At 43.5% G+C, this 23,089-nt stretch overlaps 1 protein-coding gene across 3 annotated transcripts in view, besides 1 other annotated feature; it reads right to left on the reverse strand.

Moving 5' to 3' along the window:
* USP49 (ubiquitin specific peptidase 49) overlaps window positions 1-23,089 on the reverse strand; it is a 105,480-nt gene that overhangs the window by 7,447 nt on the left and 74,944 nt on the right. For 2 of the 3 annotated variants that reach the window (NM_001286554.2, NM_001384542.1), the window contains exons 4-7: window positions 8,286-9,669; window positions 6,464-6,668; window positions 2,488-2,596; window positions 1,382-1,587 (exon numbers count right to left, since the gene is read on the reverse strand). In NM_001286554.2, the coding sequence (NP_001273483.1) occupies window positions 1,382-1,587; window positions 2,488-2,596; window positions 6,464-6,668; window positions 8,286-9,641 (1,876 nt within the window). In that variant the 5' untranslated portion in view covers window positions 9,642-9,669. Of the gene's footprint in view, window positions 1-302; window positions 1,588-2,487; window positions 2,597-6,463; window positions 6,669-8,285; window positions 9,670-23,089 lie in introns of those variants that run through there. The other variant, NM_018561.5, reaches the window with a different exon arrangement.
* Window positions 4,129-4,423: a silencer, noted in NCBI's record as "tiled region #15280; HepG2 Repressive non-DNase unmatched - State 12:CtcfO". NCBI's record gives its function as "represses a minimal TATA promoter and a strong SV40 promoter by Sharpr-MPRA in HepG2 cells {active_cell/tissue: HepG2}" and the evidence as "EXISTENCE:reporter gene assay evidence [ECO:0000049][PMID:27701403]".

Genomic DNA, 23,089 nt, shown 5'->3' on the forward strand with positions numbered 1-23,089 from the left:
GGCTAAGCAATGGGGAGATGAGGAGGAAGAGGAGGAGGAGAGGAGAAATGGAAATAGAGGGGAGTGATGAAGGAAAATTTAGAAGGAACAAAAAAGTATTTATTCACAAGCTCTGGCTGCCCCAAGGGCTGTGCAGTTCAAGAAGAGTGAACAGCTGAAAACACATCTGCAGCCCATCAGTCAGTGCAGTAGCTGGAAGACTCCACTCTGGAGGATGAGGACCTAAAGCTCCTTTGGAGGGGCCCTTGCATCCCCACACTTCCCATGGCAGGGGAAGTAGTAAGAACATAGTAAGTGCTCAGTAAATGTTCTCGGCTTTATTATAAGCTGCGGCTAGTGAGATTCATACAATATCTCCTTGAGGTTACACAGGTTCTACTGTTTCTGCATAACCAAGAAGGAAACTGGGGTGTGCAGAAGTAGCATTACCACAAAACAGTAATATTATCAATAACCAATACTTTTGATAATACTACAATATCCTCTAACACTGACTGAATAAGTACTATGTGGTAGGCAACTGCTCTTCTTATTTATTTATTTGAGTCAGGATCTCACTCTGTTGCCCAGGCTAGAATGCAGTGGTGAAATCATAGCTCATTGCAACTTCAAACTCCTGGGCTTGAGCAATTCTCCCACCTCAGCCTCCCAAGTAGCTAGGATCACAGGTGCACACCATTACACCTGGATAATTTTTAAATTTTTTGTAGAGATGCAGTCTCGCTATGTTGCCCAGGCTAGTCTTGAACCCTCGGCCTCAAGCAATCCTCCCGCCTCTGCCTCCCAAAGTGTTGGAATTACAGGTGTGAGCCATTGCACAGGGCCTAGGTCCTGTTCTAAGCACTTTTACATGTCAGTTCCTTTTAATTCTTAGAACAACCATATGTTGTTACTTAGTAATATACCCAAAATTTGAATCCAACTTTCATAATTCTTTTTATTTTTTTTGAGATAAGAGTCTTGCTCTGTCACCCAGGCTGAAGTGCAGTGGCATAATCTTGGCTCACTGCAACCTCTGCCTCCCAGGTTCAAGCGATTCTCCTGCCTCAGCCTCTTGAGTACCTGGGATTACCAGTGCCCACCACCACGCCCGGCTAATTTTTGTACTATTTTAGTAGAGACGGGGTTTAACCATGTTGGCCAGGCTGGTCTCGAACTCCTGACCTCAGGTGATCCACCCACCGCGGCCTCCCAAAGCGCTAGGATTACAGGTGTGAGCCACGGCGCCCAACCCAATTTTCACAATTCTTTCCACTGGATTTTTGATGTATGTAATTTCCCTCTAGGTAATCCATGGGATGGAAATAAAAGGAAAACAATAAAATGTGGACAAATCAACCCCTTTCCGTGTCCCCCACCCCACAGAGTAAAGCGCACGCACCTCCCTCTGTGTTGTAGCAATAGGCTGTGTAGTGTCCTGAGCCAAACCCTTTCCCGTGATGCATGACCACTGCGGAGAGATCATAGGCAAAGGTCTCTTTGTCAAGAGAGGAGAGCATGTCCCTGCAGCAGTAAGGTTCCATGGTTAATACCTGGTCAAAGACGACATGGACCCCAATCTTCTCTCGATGATTACGGCCAGACCACCTAGAACATGGATATAAGCTTGTTACTAGTAAAAACTGGCATATATAATCGTAGGTAGAGGTAGGTATTAATAAAACAGGAAACTGAGAAAATTTAACCTTCTGGTTTTGGTTTTCCCATCAATAAAATGGTGGTAATCAATGTTCACACTTATTTATTTATTTATTTATTTATTTATTTATTTATTTTCAGACAGGGTCTCACTCTGTTGCCCAGGCTGCAGTGCAGTGGTGTGATTGATAAAGGCTCACTGCAGCTTCAACCTTCCCGAGCTCAGGTGATCCCCCCACCTCAGCCTCCCGAGTAGGTGGGACTATAGGTGCACACCACCATGCCTGGCTAATTTTTGCATTTTTTGTAGAGACAGGGTTTTAACCATGTTGCCGAGGCTGGTCTCAAACTCCTGAGCTCAAGCAATCTGCCTACCTTGGCCTCCCAAAGTTCTAGGGTTACAGTCATGAGCCACTGCGCCTGGCCCATTTATTTGCTGTTAATGTTCCATGAAGTACTCTAAACCTAGAGATCCCTAAACAAGCAATTCAAGCAACAGTCTTTTTGTAGTTTCCTGCCTGTGCTTCTTTTGCAGATTATTTTATACTTCATCCTGAAGATGAATCTACATAAGTCCAAGCCAGGCTAGAAAATCTTTAAGCACAGACACCCAGTGCAGGCTGGATAATTAATTACACAGGAGCATGAGAGCAAAAGCCCAGTCCTGCTGGGCTCCCACATCAATTTGCCTTAGTGGATGTGAACAGTTTAATCTCCATGGAAAACACGAGGTCTCAAGTGAACAGGCTTCCCCTCCCAACACCATAGAAGACATTTGCCCTCACCAAAGCCTTTGGAGCAGCTATTCCCACAGCTCTCACCCAGCTGGGACTCCCACAGCAAGCTCACCTGAATCTTTTAAGGTGCAGCCGGAGAACCTGAGGTAGTCTGTAGATCATTAACTGCTTTCTAGCTTCACTCAGAACAAGGGGTTTGGGATTGGATTTTCGTCGTTTGCCTATGTGGTTTGGGAAGGTATAAGACATAGGTTGTGAGGAGTTTTTTCTAGCTATGGCAGAGACAGTGACTTGCCATTCAATATGCATTCTCCATATTTCTCAGTATCTGAACCTCAATTTTTTGGGGGGCGCAATGTGACACTCTTTATGACTGCATTTCCCAGCTTCACACGCCTGCATGGTGTGGCCATGGAAGTTCTGGCTAAGATGAAAGGAATGACTGTGTGGGACTCTGCTTAGACAGGGCTGACTCAGTTGTAAGGCACATCCCTTTGGCCTTCCCACTATCTGAAACTGCTGGAATTCCTCCTGGACCAAAAGGTAACTTTGAAGACAGAAGTCTTGCAATGGGATAGTAAAACAGAAAACAGAAATAGCTTGGGTCACTGATGACCATGCAGCCACCATGCTGGCCCTGAATGTCCTTCAGACTTGTTTTATGTAACAGAACAATAAAATCTCTCATTTTAAGTCATTGTTATTTGGGTCGACTGTTACAAGCAACTCAAATCTTTCCAATTTTTGCCATCAGCAACTTTGCGTATAATGGAATATAATGGAACGTGCAGCAGCAAGCACATAGAGTAGAAGCATATGTTAAGGTTCCATGTCTTCACAATGGCTTATAACTTCAATTATGATACCCCACAATATGATTTTAAAAAGCTTTTTGTTTGCACTAGGTAAGCCTAATTCTACTTCCTGCTCACAACTAGTTGTGTGCTAATGGATAAGTTATTCAAAACTCTGAACCTCAGTTTCCTCACCAGTAAAATAGGAAATAATGCATATCTTTCAGGCTTAGGAAAAAAAGGATAAGATTACTAAATGATAGAGTATTTAAACACATTTTTTTCTTTAGCATGATTTGCTTATGGCATATTCAAACATTTAGAAAATAAACTGTTTTATATTTTTATGCTGTGCGTAGTTTTTGAAACATATTTCCTAGATAAAAGCACATTGCTGGACATGCAAGGACAAAGCTGACAGGTAGGCTAAATTCATCTACTCCAAAGCAGAACCAGTGATCAGTCTCTAATTTTGTTTCTAACTGTGGGGGAAATGCATTTCTCGAAGTCCTGGCTTCAAGCAGTCCTCCCACCTTGGCCTCCCAAAGTGTTGGGATTATGGGTGTGAGCCCACTGTGCCCAGCCTTGAGGAAATGCATTTCTAAATTTCAGCAAATAAATAATGGAAATAGAGTTCTCTTAGTTTCTATCAGAAGCCTTTCCTGTAACCATTTACTGATGACTGTTTTGTTATATTAAATTGGTAAATGGATGAGAGTAGAAAATTAGTGGTCTACTGCAGTCCCTGTTAATTGTCTTGAGCTGTTGATATCATGGGCTCAGTGTTTGAAGAGCAGCTGGGCATCTGATTCCAAGTCCTGTCTGTACTACTCATGAAAGGTAGCAAATCACAGCCAGATGATGTATCACAGAGCTTTCTGTGACAATAGGATGTGGAGGTGTAACTTCTCATAATAGACTGCATCAGAATGAGTGTGCCATAGGAGAAGCTTTTACCAGGGTGTAGTCGTCACAATACGTGGGGGCATGAACAGAAATGGAATTCACAGAGGGGCTTGGCCTTATTTTATATTCCTATTCACCATTTTTTTGAAAATTACTGCAGCTCTGGCTAGGAATCCTGGCAGTGACTGCCACCTTCAGCAGAGGGAGTATGTGAGCTAAGATGAAGACAATATAGAGTCAGGCTTTGTTTCCCTAAAATGAAATTCACAAAGAAAAAGAAATTACTGATTCAACTGAGATTGATCAGTTCTGTCTCCATTTCATTAAGCTGGCCAGGAAGACAGGTAGAAGACTGACAGTTTTGAAACTTCACAGGCAACAGATCAATGCATCTCATCCCCTCACCATAGGTTTCCTTCTCTGCCATTATTTGTACTTGCCTAGAGAAATCCTGATAAATTGGCATATCTGACAACCAAAGAACAATCCTTTCTTGTAAAGATAAACAAAAGTTATTTCTTGCCTAATCTATCATATCCAAAAATGATGGAGTTAAAGCTGTTAATATTCTTTTGTTCCTTACAAGTAAAAGGCTTCAGGAATCACTGTTTTTTTTTTTTTAAATATTACTCTAATGAAACAATTTGATTCACCTGACTCTGTATCTCAAAATGGAACAGGATAGGTGAGTCTATAGTTAACCAGGTATAAAATTTCAAATTTTGTTTTGAAATGGCAAAATGATATCGAGCATAACTTTGTGGTTTTTGTTTTTGTTTTTATTTTCCCTAAAAGAGGTCTTGCTATGCCACCAGGCTGGTCTCAAACTCCTGGCTTCAGGCAATCCTCCTGCCTTGGCCTCCCAAAGTGTTGGGATTACAGGTATGAGCCACTACACCTGGCCTCAAGCCTGACTTTTGATTTTTGTTCTGATTCTTCAAAGAGCGGAACAGGTTTCCCACAATTTATTTTATTTTATTTTATTTTATTTTTTATTTTATTTTATTTTATTTTATTTATTTATTTATTTATTTATTTATTTATTTATTTATTTTTTATTTATTTTTTTTTTTTGAGACAGCATCTCGCTCTGTCACCCAGGCTGGAGTGCAGTGGCGCCCACCTTGGGGTCTCCCAAAGTCCTGGGATTACAGGCGTGAGCCACTGCACCTGGCCTAAGATTTTTTTTTTCTTCAAAACTGGTAATCTAAACTATTATGTGACTGAAAATTGATTTCTAGGTCTCTGCACAGTCCATTAACTTTATACTTTTAGTTTCCAAATCTATATATGCCACAAACCCCAAACATAAGCATCCACATATTTGTTCTGCATTTCCTCTGTCCATACTGGATTAGCAGAAGCATTAAGTGTTAGTGTGGCAAGATGGAAGGACCCTGATAACATGCCTCTGTAACCATATGTAAGAGTTCCATTTTAAAATTACAGACAACACAGAAATACTTCCGTATGACCCTCTCTGAAATGTGAACTTTTCAGGCATGTGAACAATAAAAACAAAATGCAGAAAATATTTCATGAAGCTGCCACTGAGCAATGCACCTTAAGACTTGCTTTCTTGGTTCCACTGTACCAATCTTTAGCATCACTTTTGACAGACATTAAGTCTACCAGTTCAGTACAAAAGCTTGCTTTTCTGATATCGCACCCTTCAGAAAGGCTATACCATCTGGGTTTAGATTAAGTAAGAACTGTCAGACTCTACATTCATGAATTTAAGCAGCAGCCCCACAGCACTAAGAAGCTAAGTACTAACATTCTCAGAGTCCCCATTTCAGGAGCCACAACTTTAAAATCCCTTCCAAGATGACAACTAATGTCAATCAGGAGGTCAATCAACTCCTAGGTCTTTGTTTCATTTGTTGTTGTTGTTGTTGTTGTTTGAAACGGAGTCTTGCTCTGTTGCCCAGGCTGGAGTGCAATGGCGCAATCTTGGCTCACTGCACCCTCCGCTTCCTGGGTTCAACCGATTCTCCTGCCTCAGCCTCCCGAGTAGCTGGGATTACAGGCATCTGCCACTATGCCCAGCTAATTTTTGTATTTTTAGTAGAGACAGGGTTTCACCATGTTGGTCAGGCTGGTCTCAAACTCCTGACCTCAAGTGATCTGTCCGCCTTGGCCTCCCAAAATGCTGGGATTACAGGCGTGAGCCACAACGCCCAGCCTTGTTTTGTTTTTTAATACATAATTAAAACAAGTCCATGTTTTTTGTTTTTAGAAAAATGGGAGAAAAAGATCTTTAAAAGATGCTTTAGAACCATTCAATATCATTAGTGTTACTTTTGACTAAAGAGGACAAAGCAGCACCTTAAACTGATATTCCAATTATTCTTCCCCACTACGCCCCCTCCTCCACACAGCACTCACTGTTACACTGGTCACAAGCGTAGATTCTCCCTTCCAGGGCCTCTGTCTCTGTGAATTTGGCCAGCATCTCAGTGAGCAAGCACTCTGTTTGATTCAAAGGGACAAACCCCTTTTCTATGCAGTGATAGCGTTCAGGGAATTCCAGGGATAGGTCCCAAAAGGGCTCAATGGTATTGGATTTGTAATTGCATGATATACATGTGACCTAGAATGAAAAGATTGATTTACAGATTATATAACTTCCATGCTTCCTGTGTACAGTTTTACTTGCTTCATAAAAGACACACTTTATCAAAACTAAGTGTATAATTTTCAAAAAATAGTAATATTAAAATAATAAACATAACTTTAAAAGAATTAGAGTATATTATTTCTGATGTACATTTCTAACTATGGGATGCTAGCTGGAATTTAAAAACCATACTGCATAGAGACTATACTAACCCCCCTTTTCACCTCTCCCAAAATATGCTCTACCATTCAATAGTACAGTAGTACAGACTGCAAGTTATCATGCAGTCACTCAAGGGATCAGTCTGACACAGATTTGCAGGTCCCTGCCTGCTTCCCTCACCCTGGCATTCCTCCTCTTGACTTCAGACCTTCCATGGGGCCCAGCATGCCTCTCTTTTTGCCTTTGTTACTTGCAGAAGCCCTACACTGAACCCCTCTGTCTGCAGAGCCTCAAAGTGCTGTGATTAGACCTCCATTCCCACTATAACCTTCCCAGGTGCACCTTTCTTCCTAAGGGGAGGGGAGACAGAAGAAGTGCTGATAAATACTCCCCCTTTTACATGCTCAAAAACAAAAGCCTAATTAAACTTTCCCTTTCCATCCCATTCATCATTCTTTCAAAGCCCTAAAAACCAAGACACATAGTGTAGAGGTTTTACCTGAAACTCTTAAGTTGCTCACCAACCCACCCCCCACCACGTTTTTTTGTTTGTTTTTTGGTTTTTTTTGAGACAGTCTCCATCTGTCACCCAGGCTGTAGTGCCAATGGCACAATCTCGGCTCACCGCAACCTCCGCCTCCTGGGCTTAAGCAATTCTCCTGCCTCAGCCTCCCAAGTAGCTGGGATTACAGGCATGCGCCACCACGCCCGGCTAATTTTGTATTTTTAGTAGAGACAGGGTTTCACCATGTTGGCCAGGCTGGTCTCTAACTCCTGACCTCAGGTGATCCACCCACCTTGGCCTCCTGAAGTGCTGGGATTACAGGCATGAGCCACCGTGCCCGGCACACCTGCCTTTTTTTAACTATAGAAATACTCTTTCTGCATATTCTCGCAAGGCCCTGTCTAAGCATTTTTGCTTAGGTTACATGGCTAAAGATGCAGGAAATAAAAGGTAATGGGGAACAGGAAGGAGGCTTGCACTGGCCTTTAGCATGCTCCCAGCTACCTACCTTCCCTGTATGTAAAGAAGGGAGATTGCTCTTTCAAACTATTATGGAACCAGGGTTACAAGCAAACTCTGTTCCCTCAAATTGATCAAAGGATGGCACACCAACAATGGGTACTTAATTATAACAATGAGAATATTATATTACCCCTATCTTCAATAACAATTAAAGATATTCACTGAAAATTAAGCGATGTGGCAAGTTAAACTAAAAATCTGGCCGGAAAGACACTAGGCAAGTTTCCCCAAAAGGCCATCATAATGTACAGCAGAATGAAAGGTATAATGGCCACCCTCCAAATTGCATAATCACAGCAAATGTGGGCTACTCTTATTAGCCCAATAACCCGGGGAAGGCACTCACAGGAAGCCCAAGCTAACATACAAGCCTCTCATTGTCATGGTAGGCACACACATACCTGACTGAGCAGCTGCCCATGAAATATGGTATTCACCACCTTTAAGACCTGTTTGGTGAGCTTCCTCTGGGAGAAGGGGATGAGGATCCGGCGTGTGGTGCCCTCAGACTCGAGTTCCTGCTGCACCTTGTGCAGCAGCTCGCAGAGAAATTCCTGCGCGTCCTGTTGGTCGTAGCCGCGGAAGGCAGGGATCAGGCTCCACACTGAGTGGAGCATGGCGAAGGGCGACACTAGGGCCCACTTCCCGGACCACATGACTCGGAAGAGGGTGTGCAGTTCACGGCAGAGGGAAATGTGCTTTGAACTCGGCTCCTTGTTCTGGATGAGCTCCAGACTCCGACTAATGGAGGCCCTGCCGTTCCAGCAGAAGCCCTCCCGCTCGCATGCCTCGGCCCTGTCATTTCTCAAGGACAGCTCCGTGGCCGAGCTGTTGGTTGGCTTGCCAGAAAGCTGAGTCTTCCCGTTGGTGGCTTTGGGAAACAGATGTTCCGTTTTGGAAGGGTCAAGGTTGAGGAAACATTCTCGGAACTTCTGGAGGTGGCTGAGCACCTGGAGGATGGAGTTCATGTAGCAGGTGTTGCCCAGGTTGCGCAGGCCCGTGACGCCTGGGGCCATGGCCGGCTGGCGACGCAGCTTGAGTGTGGCGGCGGGCACTCTGCGTGAGGTAGGGAGGGCGGCGGGGCGCGAGGCAGCCGGGCCCGCGTCGCGGGGCGTGTGCAGGAGCAGCCGTGCACTCTTGCGCGGAGGGGTGCTGGCCAGCTCCTCCAGCAGCCGCCGTTTCACCTCGCGCCGCCGCCTCCGCGCCTCCTCCTTCTTGCGCTCCAGGGCCTCCTCCTGCCGCCGCTGCTCCAGCTTCGCCTGGCCCCGGGAGCTCTTCTCGAACCACAGCCGCAGCGTCCTGGCCAGCAGGCGCTGACGCCGGTACCACAGAGCCGTGAGCATCTGCGGCTGTCCCTGAGGAGCGCGCTGCGGCAGGACCACGTCCTCACCCGAAGCCATGGACCGCAGCGTCCGCCCACGTCTCACCGGCGTGTCCTGTTTCTGGCCCCGGACCGCCAGGAGGGAGCTTCTTAGCAGCTTCAGGTCCCCCTCTGGGTTATCATTGAGCACGTAGTCCTTGCACAGGTAACAGAACACGTAGAGATCCCGGACTTCCATGGCTAGCGGGTGTCCCGTCTCCTCAAAGTGTTTCAGGGCGTGGTCCTCAATATAGCGGCCGCAGGCCACGTGGGAGCACTTGAGGCAGGCCCACACGGACTCGGTGGTGGCACACTCTAAGCAGCACCACTTCTGAGGGTTCAGGATGGAGTGGTCCTGGGCGAGCCGTAACCGCCCTACATGTTTGCATCTATCCATGTCTTATAGAAGTCGCCACTTTCTCAACCTGGCACGACAGAGTCCCCAAAAAAGAAAAAGAAAAAGAAAACACTTTTAGAAAAATATTTTCCTTAAAAAAAAAAAAAAAAGTAAAAGGCTTGCAATTGATATTTCAACTCTAGATTCATTCATTTTCAACTCCAAATTGGTTCCTTTGAAAGTTAAAAAAAGGCACATTTGGTATAAAGGCAGAGAGTTACAGGACAGTTAAATTACTTAAAAAGGAAGACTCTTACGGAAGGGTTAGCACAAATTTGAAACTTTATGGTGTTTCACATACCAGTGGGAGAGATGAAGAAACTCAAATAAAAAGTCAATTTTAGGTCGATTGCAATGTTTTTCAAAGCAGAGATAACATGATATAAGATAGAAATAAGAGAAAGAAAGTCCTCACCAGTACAAAGTATCATTTTTATGAGACGTGACTAAGGAACATTGTATATGTGGTTTTGTTTTGAGACGGGGTCACTCTGTCGCCCAGGCTGGAGTGCAGTGGCGGGATATCAGCTCATTGCAACCTCCACCTCCCGGGCTCAAGCGATTCTCCCACTTCAGCCTCCCGAGTATCTGGGATTACTGACGCCACGCCACCACACCCGGCTAATTTTTGTATTTTTAGTAGAGACGGGGTTTCAACATGTTGGCCAGGTTGGTCTCGAACTCCTGACCTCAGGTGATCTGCCCACCTCGGCATTCCAAAGTGCTGGGAATACAGGCATGAGCCACCGTGCACAGCCGTATATGTGTTTTTTAATTTATTTTTTGTTTTTTATGTATTTTTTTTTTTGAGGTCGAGCCTCCCTCTGTCACCCAGGATGGAGTGTAGTGGTGCAGTCTCAGCTCACTGCAACTTCTGCCTCCCTGGTTCAAGCGATTCTCCTGCCTCAGCCTCCCAGGAAGCTGGGATTACAGGTGCGCGCACCACCACACCCGGCTAATTTTTTTGTATTTTTAGTAGAGACGAGATTTAACCATGTTGGCCAGGCTGGTCTCGAACTACTGACCTAAATGATCTGCCCGCCTCAGCCTCCTAAAGTGCTGGGAATACAGGCACGAGCCACTGCGCCCAGCCAACATCCGTCTTTTTGAAAAGAACATCTGCATCTTGCAGTAAGGGTGGGAAAACTTTTACCTTCTTTACTGAAAGGAAAGGTAAGTAAAGAACTGGACAAATCTGACTTAGGACAAGAGGTGAAGTGGCTACTGGTATAATATTTAACCAAACTACCGAAACAAAAGAAAAAAAAGCAACGAATCTTCCAGCTGATATATATGAAAATGCTTTTTAAAACAGTAGAACATCCTAAGCATGTTTTTTTTTCCCCCTCCCAATAATGCTTCTTCAATTCAATAATCAGAGAAGCCTTGTGGGCAATTTCTCCAAGGGAAAGAAGCTATACAACTTTTTTTTTTTTTTTTTTTTTGAGATGGAGTCTCGCTCTGTCACCAGGCTGGAGTACAGTGGCGTGGTCTCAGCTCACTGCAACCTCCACCTCCCGGGTTCAAGCGATTCTCCTGCCTCAGCCTCCCGAGTAGCTGGGACTAAAGGCGTGCGCCACCACGCCCAGCTAATTTTTTTGTATTTTTAGTAGAGACAGGGTTTCACCATGTTGACCAGGATGGTCCCGATCTCTTGACCTCGTGATCCGCCCACCTCAGCCTCCCAAAGTGCTGCGATTATAGGTGTGAGCCAACACGCCAGGCTGCTATACAACTATTTTAAAAGAAAACTTTTATATCTTTGGAACTTTGAAAGGCGTTTTCCCCTCAATACCAGAACTTAAAATTCCTTAGGCTGGGCACCGTGGCTTGCACACTTCGGGAGGCTGAGGTGGAAGGATTGAGGTCAGGAGTTCAAGACCAGCCTAGCCAACATAGACCTGTCCTATCTAATCTATCTATCTATTTACTTATATATTTATATATTTTGAGAGAGGGTCTCTCTGTCACCCAGCCTGGAGTGCGGTGGTGTGATCTTGGCTCACTGCAGCCACCACTTCCTGGGTTCAAGTGATCCTCCCACCTCAGCCTCTAGAGTAGATGAGATCATAGGTGCATGCCACTATGCCCAGCTAATTTTATTTTTTGTAGATATGGGGATCTCACTATGTTGCCCAGGCTGGTCTTAAACTTCTGGGCACAGTGATCCTCCTGCCTTGGCCTCCCAAAGTGTTAGGATTATAGGTGTGAGCCACCACACCTGGCCTAGTCTCTTTAAAATTAAAAAAAAAAAAAAGGCCAGGTGCGGTGGCTCATGCCTGTAATCCCAATACTTTGGGAGGCCGAGGCAGGTGGATCACCTAAGGTCAGGAGCTCGAGACCAGACTGACCAACATGGTGAAACCCCATCTCTACTAAAAAAATAAAAAAATTAGCCAGACGTGGTGGCAGGCGCCTGTAATCCCAGCTACTCAGGAGGCTGAGGCAGGCGAATCGCTAGAACCTAGGAGGTGGAGGTTGCAGTGAGCCAAGATCGCGCCATTGCATTCCAGCCTGGAGGACAGAGCAAGACTCCGTCTCAAAAAGAAAATAATAAAATAGGCCGGGTACGGTGGCTCACACCTGTAATCCTAGCACTTTGGGAGTCCGAGGCGGGAGGATCACAAGGTCAGGAGATCGAGACCATCCTGCCTAACGCGGTGAAACCCCAACTCTACTAAAAATACAAAAAATTAGCCAGGCGTGGTGGTGGGCGCCTGTGGTCCCAACCTACTCAGGAGGCTGAGGCAGGAGAATGGCGTGAACCCGGGAGGTGGAACTTGCAGTGAGCCGAGATTGCGCCACGGCACTCCAGCCTGGGTGACAGAGCGAGACTCCGTCTCAAAAAATAAATAGATAAATAAAAATTAAAAAATAAAGAAAATAGGCCGGGCGCGGTGGCTCACGCCTGTAATCCCAGCATTTTGGGAGGCCGAGGAGGGCAGATCACGAGGTCAGAGGATCGAGACCATCCTGGCTAACACGGTGAAACCCTGTCTCTACTAAAAAATACAAAAAATTAGCCGGGCGCGGTGGCGGGTGCCTTTAGTCCCAGCTGCTCCGGAGGCTGAGGCAGGGGAATGGCGCGAACCCGGGAGGCGGAGCTTGCAGTGAGCCGAGATCGCGCCACTGCACTTCAGCCTGGGCGACAGAGCAAGACTCCGTCTCAAAAAATAAATAAATAAAAATAAAAAAATAAAGAAAATAATAAAATAGGCCGGGTGCAGTGGCTCACGCCTGTAATCCCAACATTTTGGGAGACCGAGGCAGGCGGATCACCTGAGGTCAGGAGTTCGAGACCAGCCTAGCCAACATGGTGAAACCCCGTCTCTACTAAAAAAAAAAACACAAAAAAAATTAGCCAGGTGTGGTGGCAGGCGCCTGTAATCCCAGCTATTCGGGAAGCTGAGGCAGAAGAATTGCTTGAACCTGGAGGTGGAAGTTGCAGTGAGCCAAGATTGTGCCATCGCACTCCAGCCTGGGGGACAAGAGCGAGACTTCGTCTCCAAAAAATAAAAAATAAATAAAAAATAAATAAATAATTCAATTCCCTAAAGATAGTTCCTCTTTTTTTTTTTTTTGAGACAGAGCCTCACTCTGTTGCCCAGGCTGGAGTGCACTGGCATGATCTTGGCTCAGTGCAACCTCCATCTCCCAGGTTCAAGCAATCCTCCTGCCTCAGCCTCCCTAGTAGCTGGGATTACAGGCAAGGGCCACCACACCCAGCTAATTTTTGTATTTTTAGTAGATATGGGGTTTCACCATGTTGGCCAGGCTGGTCTTGAACTCCTGACCTCAGGTGATCCTGAGGTCAGGTGACCCGCCTCAGCCTCCCAAAGTGCTGGGATTATAGGTGTGAGCCACCGTGCCCGGCCGGTAGTTCCTCTTTCAAGGTGAATTTCTTTCACCTCCATTTATTCTCTACTTTTCATTTCTGTGAGCAAATGCAGTTTCATGATTATGAGGTCAACCCAGAGAAGTTCTAAATCCAATGTACTGTGAGTAGCCCCTTTAATTTTCCAGATGCCGTTTTTGGCCTAGTCCTATTTATGTGTGCCAAAACCCACAAATAAATAAATATACTGCAGGACCAAATTAGAGATTCTTCCCTTTTTTATTGCCTGTTCCAGATGGCAGAGGCATGTCTTTATATAAGAAACCCTCAAATCATACAAAGGGAAGCGACCTAGACTACTCTCAATCAAGCCAGATCATGATTTTCTCATTGCTAAGCACCCTTTACATCATTTTTCTGGATGTGTTTGCCCACTTTCTAACAAGATATACAGTAGCCTCCCTTTATACATGGTTTCACTTTCTGAGGTTTCGGTCACCTGTGGTGCAGTACAGTAAGATACTCCAAGAGACCACATTCACATAATTTTTATTACAGTATATTGTTGTAATTGTTCTATTGTATTATGTTATTATTACTGTGCCTCATTTAAAAACTAAACTTTATAGGTATGTATGTACAGGAAAAAAACATAGTATATATAGGGTTCGATACTATCTGTGGTTTCAGGCATCCACTGGGGGTCTTGAAACATATCCCCTAAGGATAAGGGGGGAATACTGTAATCTTCTTCAGAGAGGAGATTATGTATATTTCTGTTTTTACCCCCTTATAATGCCAAGACTTGTGGGTGCTCAACTCTTAGTGGTCAAAAGTATTCTGTCAGAATTACCCTCTCACACAGTCTGGAATAGTATTGAAATAACCATTTTTGTTGATTTTTCTTAGTGCACAGCCAAATCAAAACACACATACATTAAAAGATGGAATAGTAAATAAATGAATTTTCTTCTTGCTACTTAGTACCAACTAAGGGTACAAATTGGGTACACATTGATGCTTACAACTAATTCCTGGGACACAAAAGAAAGTAATGAAGGAATGAAGGGGAGGGAAAAATATCAAGATGCAGACAATTCCTGTTTCTCACTCTCACTAATTCAATATTCTTTGAAAATGTAGTCCCTGAACTACCTACCAACATCTGAATTCCCCAGGCTACTTGTTATATATACAGATTTCCTGGTTACTACTCCAGTCCTGATGAATCTGAACCTGGAGAGGCTTCTAAAATCTCAATGATTCTTTTTTTTTTTTCAGACGGAGTTTCGCTCTTGTTGCCCAGGCTAGAGTTCAGTGGCGCAATCTAGGCTCACCACAATCTCCGCCTCCCGAGTTCAAGCGATTCTCCTGTCTCAGCCTCACAAATAGCTGGGATTATAGGCATGCGCCACCACGCCCGGCTAATTTTGTATTTTTAGTAGAGACGGGGTTTCTCCATATTGGTCAGGCTGGTCTTGAACTCCCGACCTCAGGTGATCCGCCTACCTCGGCCTCCCAAAGTGCTGGGATTACAGGCATGAGCCACTGCGCCCGGCCAGATGATTTTTTTGCACATTAAAACTTTAGTACAGGCCGGGCGCAGTGCTCACGCCTGCAATCGCAGCACTTTGGGAGGCCGAGACGGGCGGATCACGAGGTCAGGAGATCGAGACCATCCTGGATAACACGGTGAAACCCCGTCTCTACTAAAAATACAAAAAAATAGCCGGGCGTGGTGGCGGGCGCCTGTAGTCCCAGCTACTTGGGAGGCTGAGGCAGGAGAATGGCATGAACCCGGGAGGCGGAGCTTGCAGTGAGCCGAGATCACACCACTGCACTCCAGTCTCTGGGCGACAGAGCGAGACTCCGTCTCAAAAAAAACTTTAGTACATTAATCCAGTAAATTGTATAGGGATAAAAGACTCTTCATAGAAATCAAAGAAAGAATTTTATTTCTCAAATTCTTCCACTTAGACTAACACTGTCCAACAGAACTTTCTGCAATGATATATTCTCTATATATCAATGAGAGGGATATCAATATTTTCTATCTGTATATATTCTCTATGTATCATCAATCATATATATCACTGATATATTGAGACTATAGAGAATATATACAGATAGAGAATTCATTATTATTACACATTATTATTGATAATATTCTCTATCTGAATATATTACAGTGCTGTCCAGTACTATAGTAACTAGTCACACGTGACTACTGAGCACTTGAAATGTGCTAGTGAGACTAAGGGACTGCACTTTTAATTTTAATTAATTTTAAGTCACATGTGGCTAGTGGTTATGGTATTATATTAAGACAGCATAGACTTAAACACACCAGGACACTATCTTTAGCTTGCTCTGCTTTGCTTTTTGTGTCCTTTCCTTCGAAAGATTCAGTACTAGCTAAATCACATCTGAATAGCCTCCTCTTACAACTCAAAACCTGATGCCTGGCAAATCCCCATTTTAGCCTTGATGTGTCTTCAGGAATTTAATTGCTACCAAGATCTTATCATATGAAATACAGCAGAGCTTCAAATCCTACAAAGAGAGAATTATTTCTGTAAATGAATATAGCAACACCACACCCAGAACACTGATGCCTCGCAAAATCAACTCCTCTGCTAAAAAAAAATATGCTGGAACAACCAAAAGCCAAAAGAGAAGAACACTAAAAAACCATTCCACATCCTCTCCATGGAGAGCTGTCAAATGAAAAGGGCACTTTGGAAATTCTTTCTTCTGATTTCATTTTCTGATCTATAAATCTGCTGATCACGCACATCCTCTCCTGCACAGCCCTTTTCCCATTACAAATTTGTCATGGCGACTCACTAACCTGCCATATGGGCAGAGTAAATCCATTCAGGAAAAACACAGGGCTACTTTGCACCTCACCATACTGATTTAAGCTAGGCAGACCAGCTTCTCTAGAGGAAAAACATGTATGATCATGAAATGGAAATCTCCTAAGAGTGACACAAAAGATAAAAGTCACCTTAACCAACAAACAAAATAGAGAATAAAGAGAATACCACCTCAGGTATACTCGGGTCAAGAAAGAAGATGTGTTTAAGTCACCTCTCACACATACTCTGACCACTTTATTTCAGAATAGGGCCTAGCACCCATTTGGCAAAAAGAGGAATTCTATTTTATATTTTTCTGATGTGTACAGGTTTCCCTTCGTATTCTCAAAGGCCATCATTCTAACATTTCCACTTAAAATGTACATCATCCAGTGTGACAGGCACCTAGTACCCAAAACTGATAAACTTACAGGTAATTGGGAAAGAACATGATGTGTCTGAATACTTCTACATCAGCAAGTTTTAAATAGATCAGCAGCTTTAAATAAATGTCCTGCACACCCTTGGTCGATCTGCATATGAGGAAAGTAAACCTGACAAAATATCAGCTTTTGCCTTTTTAATTGCCATAGTAGTTTTATTTTAAAAATCTGAATCAACTGGAGCTAAGAACCATAATCAATATTTAAAAGCATTCTATAAATATCACTAAGTATTAAATGAAAAGATAATTAAATCTTTTCAACATTTATCTTTTGTTCTGATGAAAAACTTCTAGATTTATCATATAATTTTTTAAAAAACTCTCCATATGAGAGATGACAACATTAGGATTCTAAATATTTCAAAAAATCTATAGCTTGAAAATATGATGCCTTTTAATTGGAGTATTTCAATTATTCTCAAATAGCAAATTTCTCAGCAGGTCTTAACTATATAACTACATCATCAGAAATAAAATTTCTGGGGGTTGAAGGGGAATCAAGAAAAACAAAATAGGGGGAAAAAAAGAGGGTAAATCTACTTTAGAGAGAATTCCATTTCTTCTCGCTCTCTCATCATATTGATTTCTCCTCAGTTGTTAACTAAGGACCGTAGAATAATCCTGCTTGGTCTTGGTGAGACCAAGTGGCATAAATTCCAGCTTCAGAGAGTAGACACTATGGTAACATGCTGACAGCCTTCATTTACATAAAAGAATACTAATTACGTGGTATCATCAACATCTGTGATTCTGCTCACTGCCATATGCGACAGTGCTGGGTATTTTAACCCTTTAACTTACTAAGTGTACCTAGAATTACATCTACCACAAAACCTGCATAGACTGCTTAAAGAGACACAGTGAATACACATTTACAAATAATAAATGTTAAAAATGAATTTCATTTTCTGCCAGCATTTCCAAGAAGTATGGGAAAACATAATCTAATATCAATATATAGTTAAGAAAAAGATTTAAAAATCAAGCTAGAAATCAAAACAAAAACAAAAAGGGGGCCGGGCGTGGTGGCTCACACCTGTAATCCCAGCACTTTGGGAGGCCGAGACGGGAGGATCATGAGGTCAGCAGATTGAGACCATCCTGGCTAACATGGTGAAACCCCATTTCTACTAAAAAATACAAAAAATTAGCTGGGCATAGTGGCGGGCACCTGTAGTCCCAGCTACTAGGGAGGCTGAGGCAGGAGAATGGCGTGAACCTGGGAGGCGGAGCTTCCAGTGAGCCAAGATTGCGCCACTGCACTCCAGCCTGGGCGACAGAGTGAGACTCCGTCTCAAAAAAAAAAAAAGAGTGGGGGGCAGAGACTGAGAAGGGTAGGGTTAGAGAAACTGTTCAGAAGTCCTTTGCTAAGGGACAGTGGGTGGGAGAAGAGATTGCTGAATGGGCAGTGTCCTCACAGGCTGCTGCATTTTCCCATTTTCCCTATCAGTGCCATTGTCTCTGAATAGGGGGTGGATGAGGGGTAACCTATAAGTCATAGTGCAGTTCAAAGACCCCCTGGAGAGGCTGAATTCTCTAAGAAGGGTTCGGAAGCTCTGACAAAATGTGTTCTTAGCTCTCTGACCCAAGAGCTGGAATGTCCACTTATGCAGCAGCTCTTGGCCACAGTCAACAAGACCTGACATGCTAGGTGTGCCAGAGCCCTTGTGAGGTGTGCTATCACTCATTTGTCACCAGTAATCAAGTGCTGATATTCAAGAATGAGTGTCTAATCATAGGTTACAGCAGATGTAAGGTTATGCCAGCATGATAATAGCTCACTTGCATTAGGATCTGCTTTCTTCAATGAAAAAGGAGTAGAGTTCATCTAGGGAACTGGGCCTGGCATACAACACTGGTTTGCCCATGGAAAGGGGCTATCCCTGTGGCCATGCAGGGAAATGACAAAGGCAGAACACCTGACGTGGCACAAATGCCTTGTTCCATACCCTCCGTACCTTCATCCTCTGCTCTCTTTTGTTTGCTTCCTTCCTCTTGCTACAAATATTCTCAAGTGTCTTCTGTCTAAAAAGAGAGAGAGACACACAGACAGACAGACAAGTTTGCCCTGCCTCTAGACTATCCTTGACACTATTTTTAGATTCTTTCTCCTTCTGGCAAGAGTAATGTGCAGGTTCATCCTCCTCACAATTCACTCCTTAACACCTCCTTTTTGTAGAAACTGTTTTCTCAAAGGTCACTAGCAGTTTCCTTATAGCTAAATTCATTAACCTTTTCTCAGTCCCCATCCACATTTTTTCTACACTTAACACTGCACAAACATTCTCTTGAATTTTAGACAACTGTTCTTGTCTGGTTTGCTTCCTGTGTCTGTAATTACATCTCTGTTTTCAGGTCTCCCTTCCTTGAAATTTAGGGTTTCCTTAAGGCTCCATCCTCAGCTCTCTTCTCAATTTTATCTATTTCCTAAAACTTTAAGCATCATTTAAATACAGGATTATATATTTTGATACTTTTTAAAAACTAAAAATTATTGGTAGTTTACATGCCATAAAATTCACTCATGTAAAGTAAAAACCTGATAATTTTTAGTGTACTCACACAGAGTTCCACACTCTATTATTATTATTATTATTTTATTTTTTAAATTGAGACAGGGTCTTACTCAGTCACCCAGGCTGGAGTGCAATGGCATGATCTCAGCTCACCACAGCCTTTGCCTCCTGGGCTCAAGTGATCCTCCCAAGTAGCTGGAAGCACAGGCGCGCACCACCATGCCCAGCTAATTTTTTGTATTTTTGGTGGAGATGGGGTTTTGCCATGTTGCCCAGGCTGATCTCAAATTCCTGAACTGAAGTGATCTGCCCACCTTGCCCTCCCAAAGTGTTGTGATTACAGGCATGAGCCACTGCACCTGGCTATTATTATTATTATTTTAGAGACAGAATCTCGCTATACTGCCTAGGCTGGACTCAAACTCCTGGGCTCAAGTGATCCTCCTGCCTCAGCTCCCCGAGTAGCTGGGATTATAGGCACATGCCACCACGCCTGGCTCCCACGCATGCTTTTTTTTTTTTTTTTTGAGACAGAGTCTTGCTCTGTCGCCAGGCTGGAGTGCAGTGGCGCGATCTCACTTACTGCAACCTCCGCCTCCCGGGTTCAAACGATTCTCCTGCCTCAGCCTCCCGAGTAGCTGGGACTACAGGCACACACCACCATGCCCAGCTAATTTTTGTATTTTGAGTAGTGACTGGGTTTCACCATGTTGGCCAGAATGGTCTCAATCTCTTGACCTCATGATCCACCCGACTCGGCCTCCCAAAGTGCTGGGATTACAGGCATGAGCCACCACGCTCGGCCTTTCTTTCTTTCTTTTTTTTTTTTTTTTTTTTGAGATGGAGTCTTGCTCTGTCGCCCAGGCTGCAATGAAGTGGCGCAATCTTGGCTAACTGCAACCTCCACCCACTGGGTTCAAGTGATTCTCCTGCCTCAGCCTCCCGAGTAGCTGGGATTACAGGCGCCCACCACCATTTTTCTTTTTTCTTTTTGAGATGGAATCTCGCTGTGTCATCTAGGCTGGAGTGCAGTGGCGCTATCTCAGCTCACTGCAACCTCTGCCCCGCAGGTTCAAGCAATTCTCCTGCCTCAGCCTCCCAAGTAGCTGGGACTACAGGTGTGCACCACAATGCCCAACTAATTTTTGTATTTTTCGTAGAGACAGGGTTTCACTGTGTTAGCCAGACTGGTCTCGAACTCCTGACCTAAAGTGATCCACCCACCTAGGTCTCCCAAAGTACTGGGATTACAGGCATGAGCCACTTCACCGGGCCACTCCCACACATACTTTTGAATCTCAGGTTGAATTTTCACATAATAATATCTGCTTTATGGTATACTACTATTAATGATATTTTCAGGATGAAACTACTGAACATGTTTTGTACTTTTTTGTTTGGTAGCAGTGATAATCCTATACTGAGCTATATATATAGTTTCATCCAGATCTCCTGGTGATCAAGATCTGTAAGATGACTGATGGGTGTTAAGGAGATGCCACCTGTGGTACAAAGCTAATAAGCAAGCTGGCCCTGAAGGGATCAGACTTTTTGATTAATTAACTTAATATTCTTGCTATAAGAGTTCTGTACCTAAAACCTAACCCCTTTTCCAGGAGGATAGCTGACTGGAGGCAAGATGGCAAAAGAAGACTGGTCATATTAAATTCAAGGATTCTGAATACACTGGGAGAGCACGTGTACACACACACACACATGCGCACACACACATGCACAGTCTTAGAAATGTTATCCTCGACTCTCTGCAGAGAAGTGGCAGCCAAAAGTGGATGAGAACCAGATTGGCTGGGTAAGGATTAAGCTTCAGAGCTTAGTAGTTTGTGCTGCCTCCAGATCAAAGGGGCCTACTTGCTACAACCTGGTGAGGCCATTCATAGGGCTGATGTTAAACAAGCATGACATGCATTTTGAGCCACCCCAGGATCCTGTCCCCAATTTGTCCCACTGCTTAGGCCCTGCTCAATAACAGTTCCCTCACTAACCTGGGGAATCAGCTCTGTCCGCACCTTGGTCAGCTAACCCAACTTCCCTATGAATCCCAACACATGAATGTTCCAACCAATGGAAGAAAGATGTCACTCACAGGCCAGAATTTTTCTTAAGCCAAGAAAGGATTATCCTGTGCAACAGAACCCCTGATCTCATTTGCTAACTCTTCCTGTTACTGAAGATAAGCATTATACTCTGTCTTTAGCCATACTGTATATGTGATCCAATGGCACATAGATCAGCTCCATTAAGTGCAGCACATGTACAATGAGACTTACACAATGCAAACTACTTCCTGTGTGTCATTCTGCTTGGGATTACCACATTAGTATTAAGAGTCTCCCTAAAGGAAAGTGGGGATAAAAGTCTGTACAGAAATGAAAAGATTTCTTTTTTTAAAATATTTGTTGAGATTTTGTGCTTTTGAAATGGAACAGGAAATCAGGTGGGGAGAAGAGCCAGATACAAGGTCGGGTTCGGATAAATAAACCCCCAAACAGCATGTGGATATCTGCAAGCAGGTATTTAGAATATCTATACAATAAAACCTGTAAGGGGAAACCCAAAAGCCACTCAAAGTCTTTTGTTTTATTTTGTTTTGTTTTAGCATGATCTCCCTGACAAGCTAGTGATAAAACAAGGTCCGAACTAATGGCTCCCTGTTCTCTACTGCCACATGGGAAAATTTTATCCCTACCACTGAGAGAATCAGGATTTACCCTTCTAAAAGCTGACCAAAGGAATCATGGTTCATCCCTGTAGTATGCCTCTCTAACGCCATGTTCTCTACAGCAGCTAGACAGGCAATCATTAAAAAAATACATACATATATACATATCAAAGTGTATATATGTATATATGTCAGACTTTCTTGAATTGTACCCTTGACATATGTGTGGTTTATGAAAATTATACCTCAGTACAGTTGTCAAGCATTATTCAAACACATACACAGATCTGAGTAATTTACTCCTAATAAAATAGGGGATGTAGGCAGTGGCTTCTTAAAAGTATTAGGTGAAAACTGACAGGAAATGTTATAATAGATGGATAAGGTTGACAATACCTAACTCTACTGATCAATTTTGCATGAAACTAGGGCAACTAGACCTCCCTGATTCAATGCCATGAAAGGTTCATAGCAGCATTACCTATTATAAAATACTCTTGCTAAAAGAACTGAGCCTGAGTCCAAGGAAGCCTTTGGATCTAACTACCAGGTTATAGGAAACATAGGAGCCAAGAACATACTATCATAGGCTGCAGTTAGCCAAATCACCAAATCGAAATGTGGCAAATGCTACAGGATCAGTCAGTCATATGGGTTCTTTAACAAATAAATGGCATGAAACAAAGGCAAGTGGGAGTGGATTTGCTCCAGATTATCAGAAACCTAGAGACACAGCAATCAAATGCAATCTGTGGTTCTTATTTAGATCCATACTTGAACAAACCAACCATAAAAAGATATTTTTGAGATAACTGGGGAAAAATGTTTTAAAATACTGTCTGTATCTAGCTACATCATTAGTTTTTTTTTTTTTTAAGTTTTATTGAGGTATAATTGACATACAGTGAGCTGCACATATTTAAAGTTTATAATTTGGTAAGTTTTAATATATGATATAGTTGTGAAACCACTGCAATTAAAACAATAAACACATCAGTCACCCCTAAAAGTTACCTTGTGCCCCTTTGTAACCCCTTCTTCCAGCTTCCCTCCCTACCACCACCCTTAGTCCACAACTAGAGAAACTGAACATGGACTAAGTATTAAATGA

This window comes from Homo sapiens, chromosome 6 (genome assembly GCF_000001405.40).
Source record: "Homo sapiens chromosome 6, GRCh38.p14 Primary Assembly".
Classification (NCBI taxonomy): domain Eukaryota; kingdom Metazoa; phylum Chordata; class Mammalia; order Primates; family Hominidae; genus Homo; species Homo sapiens.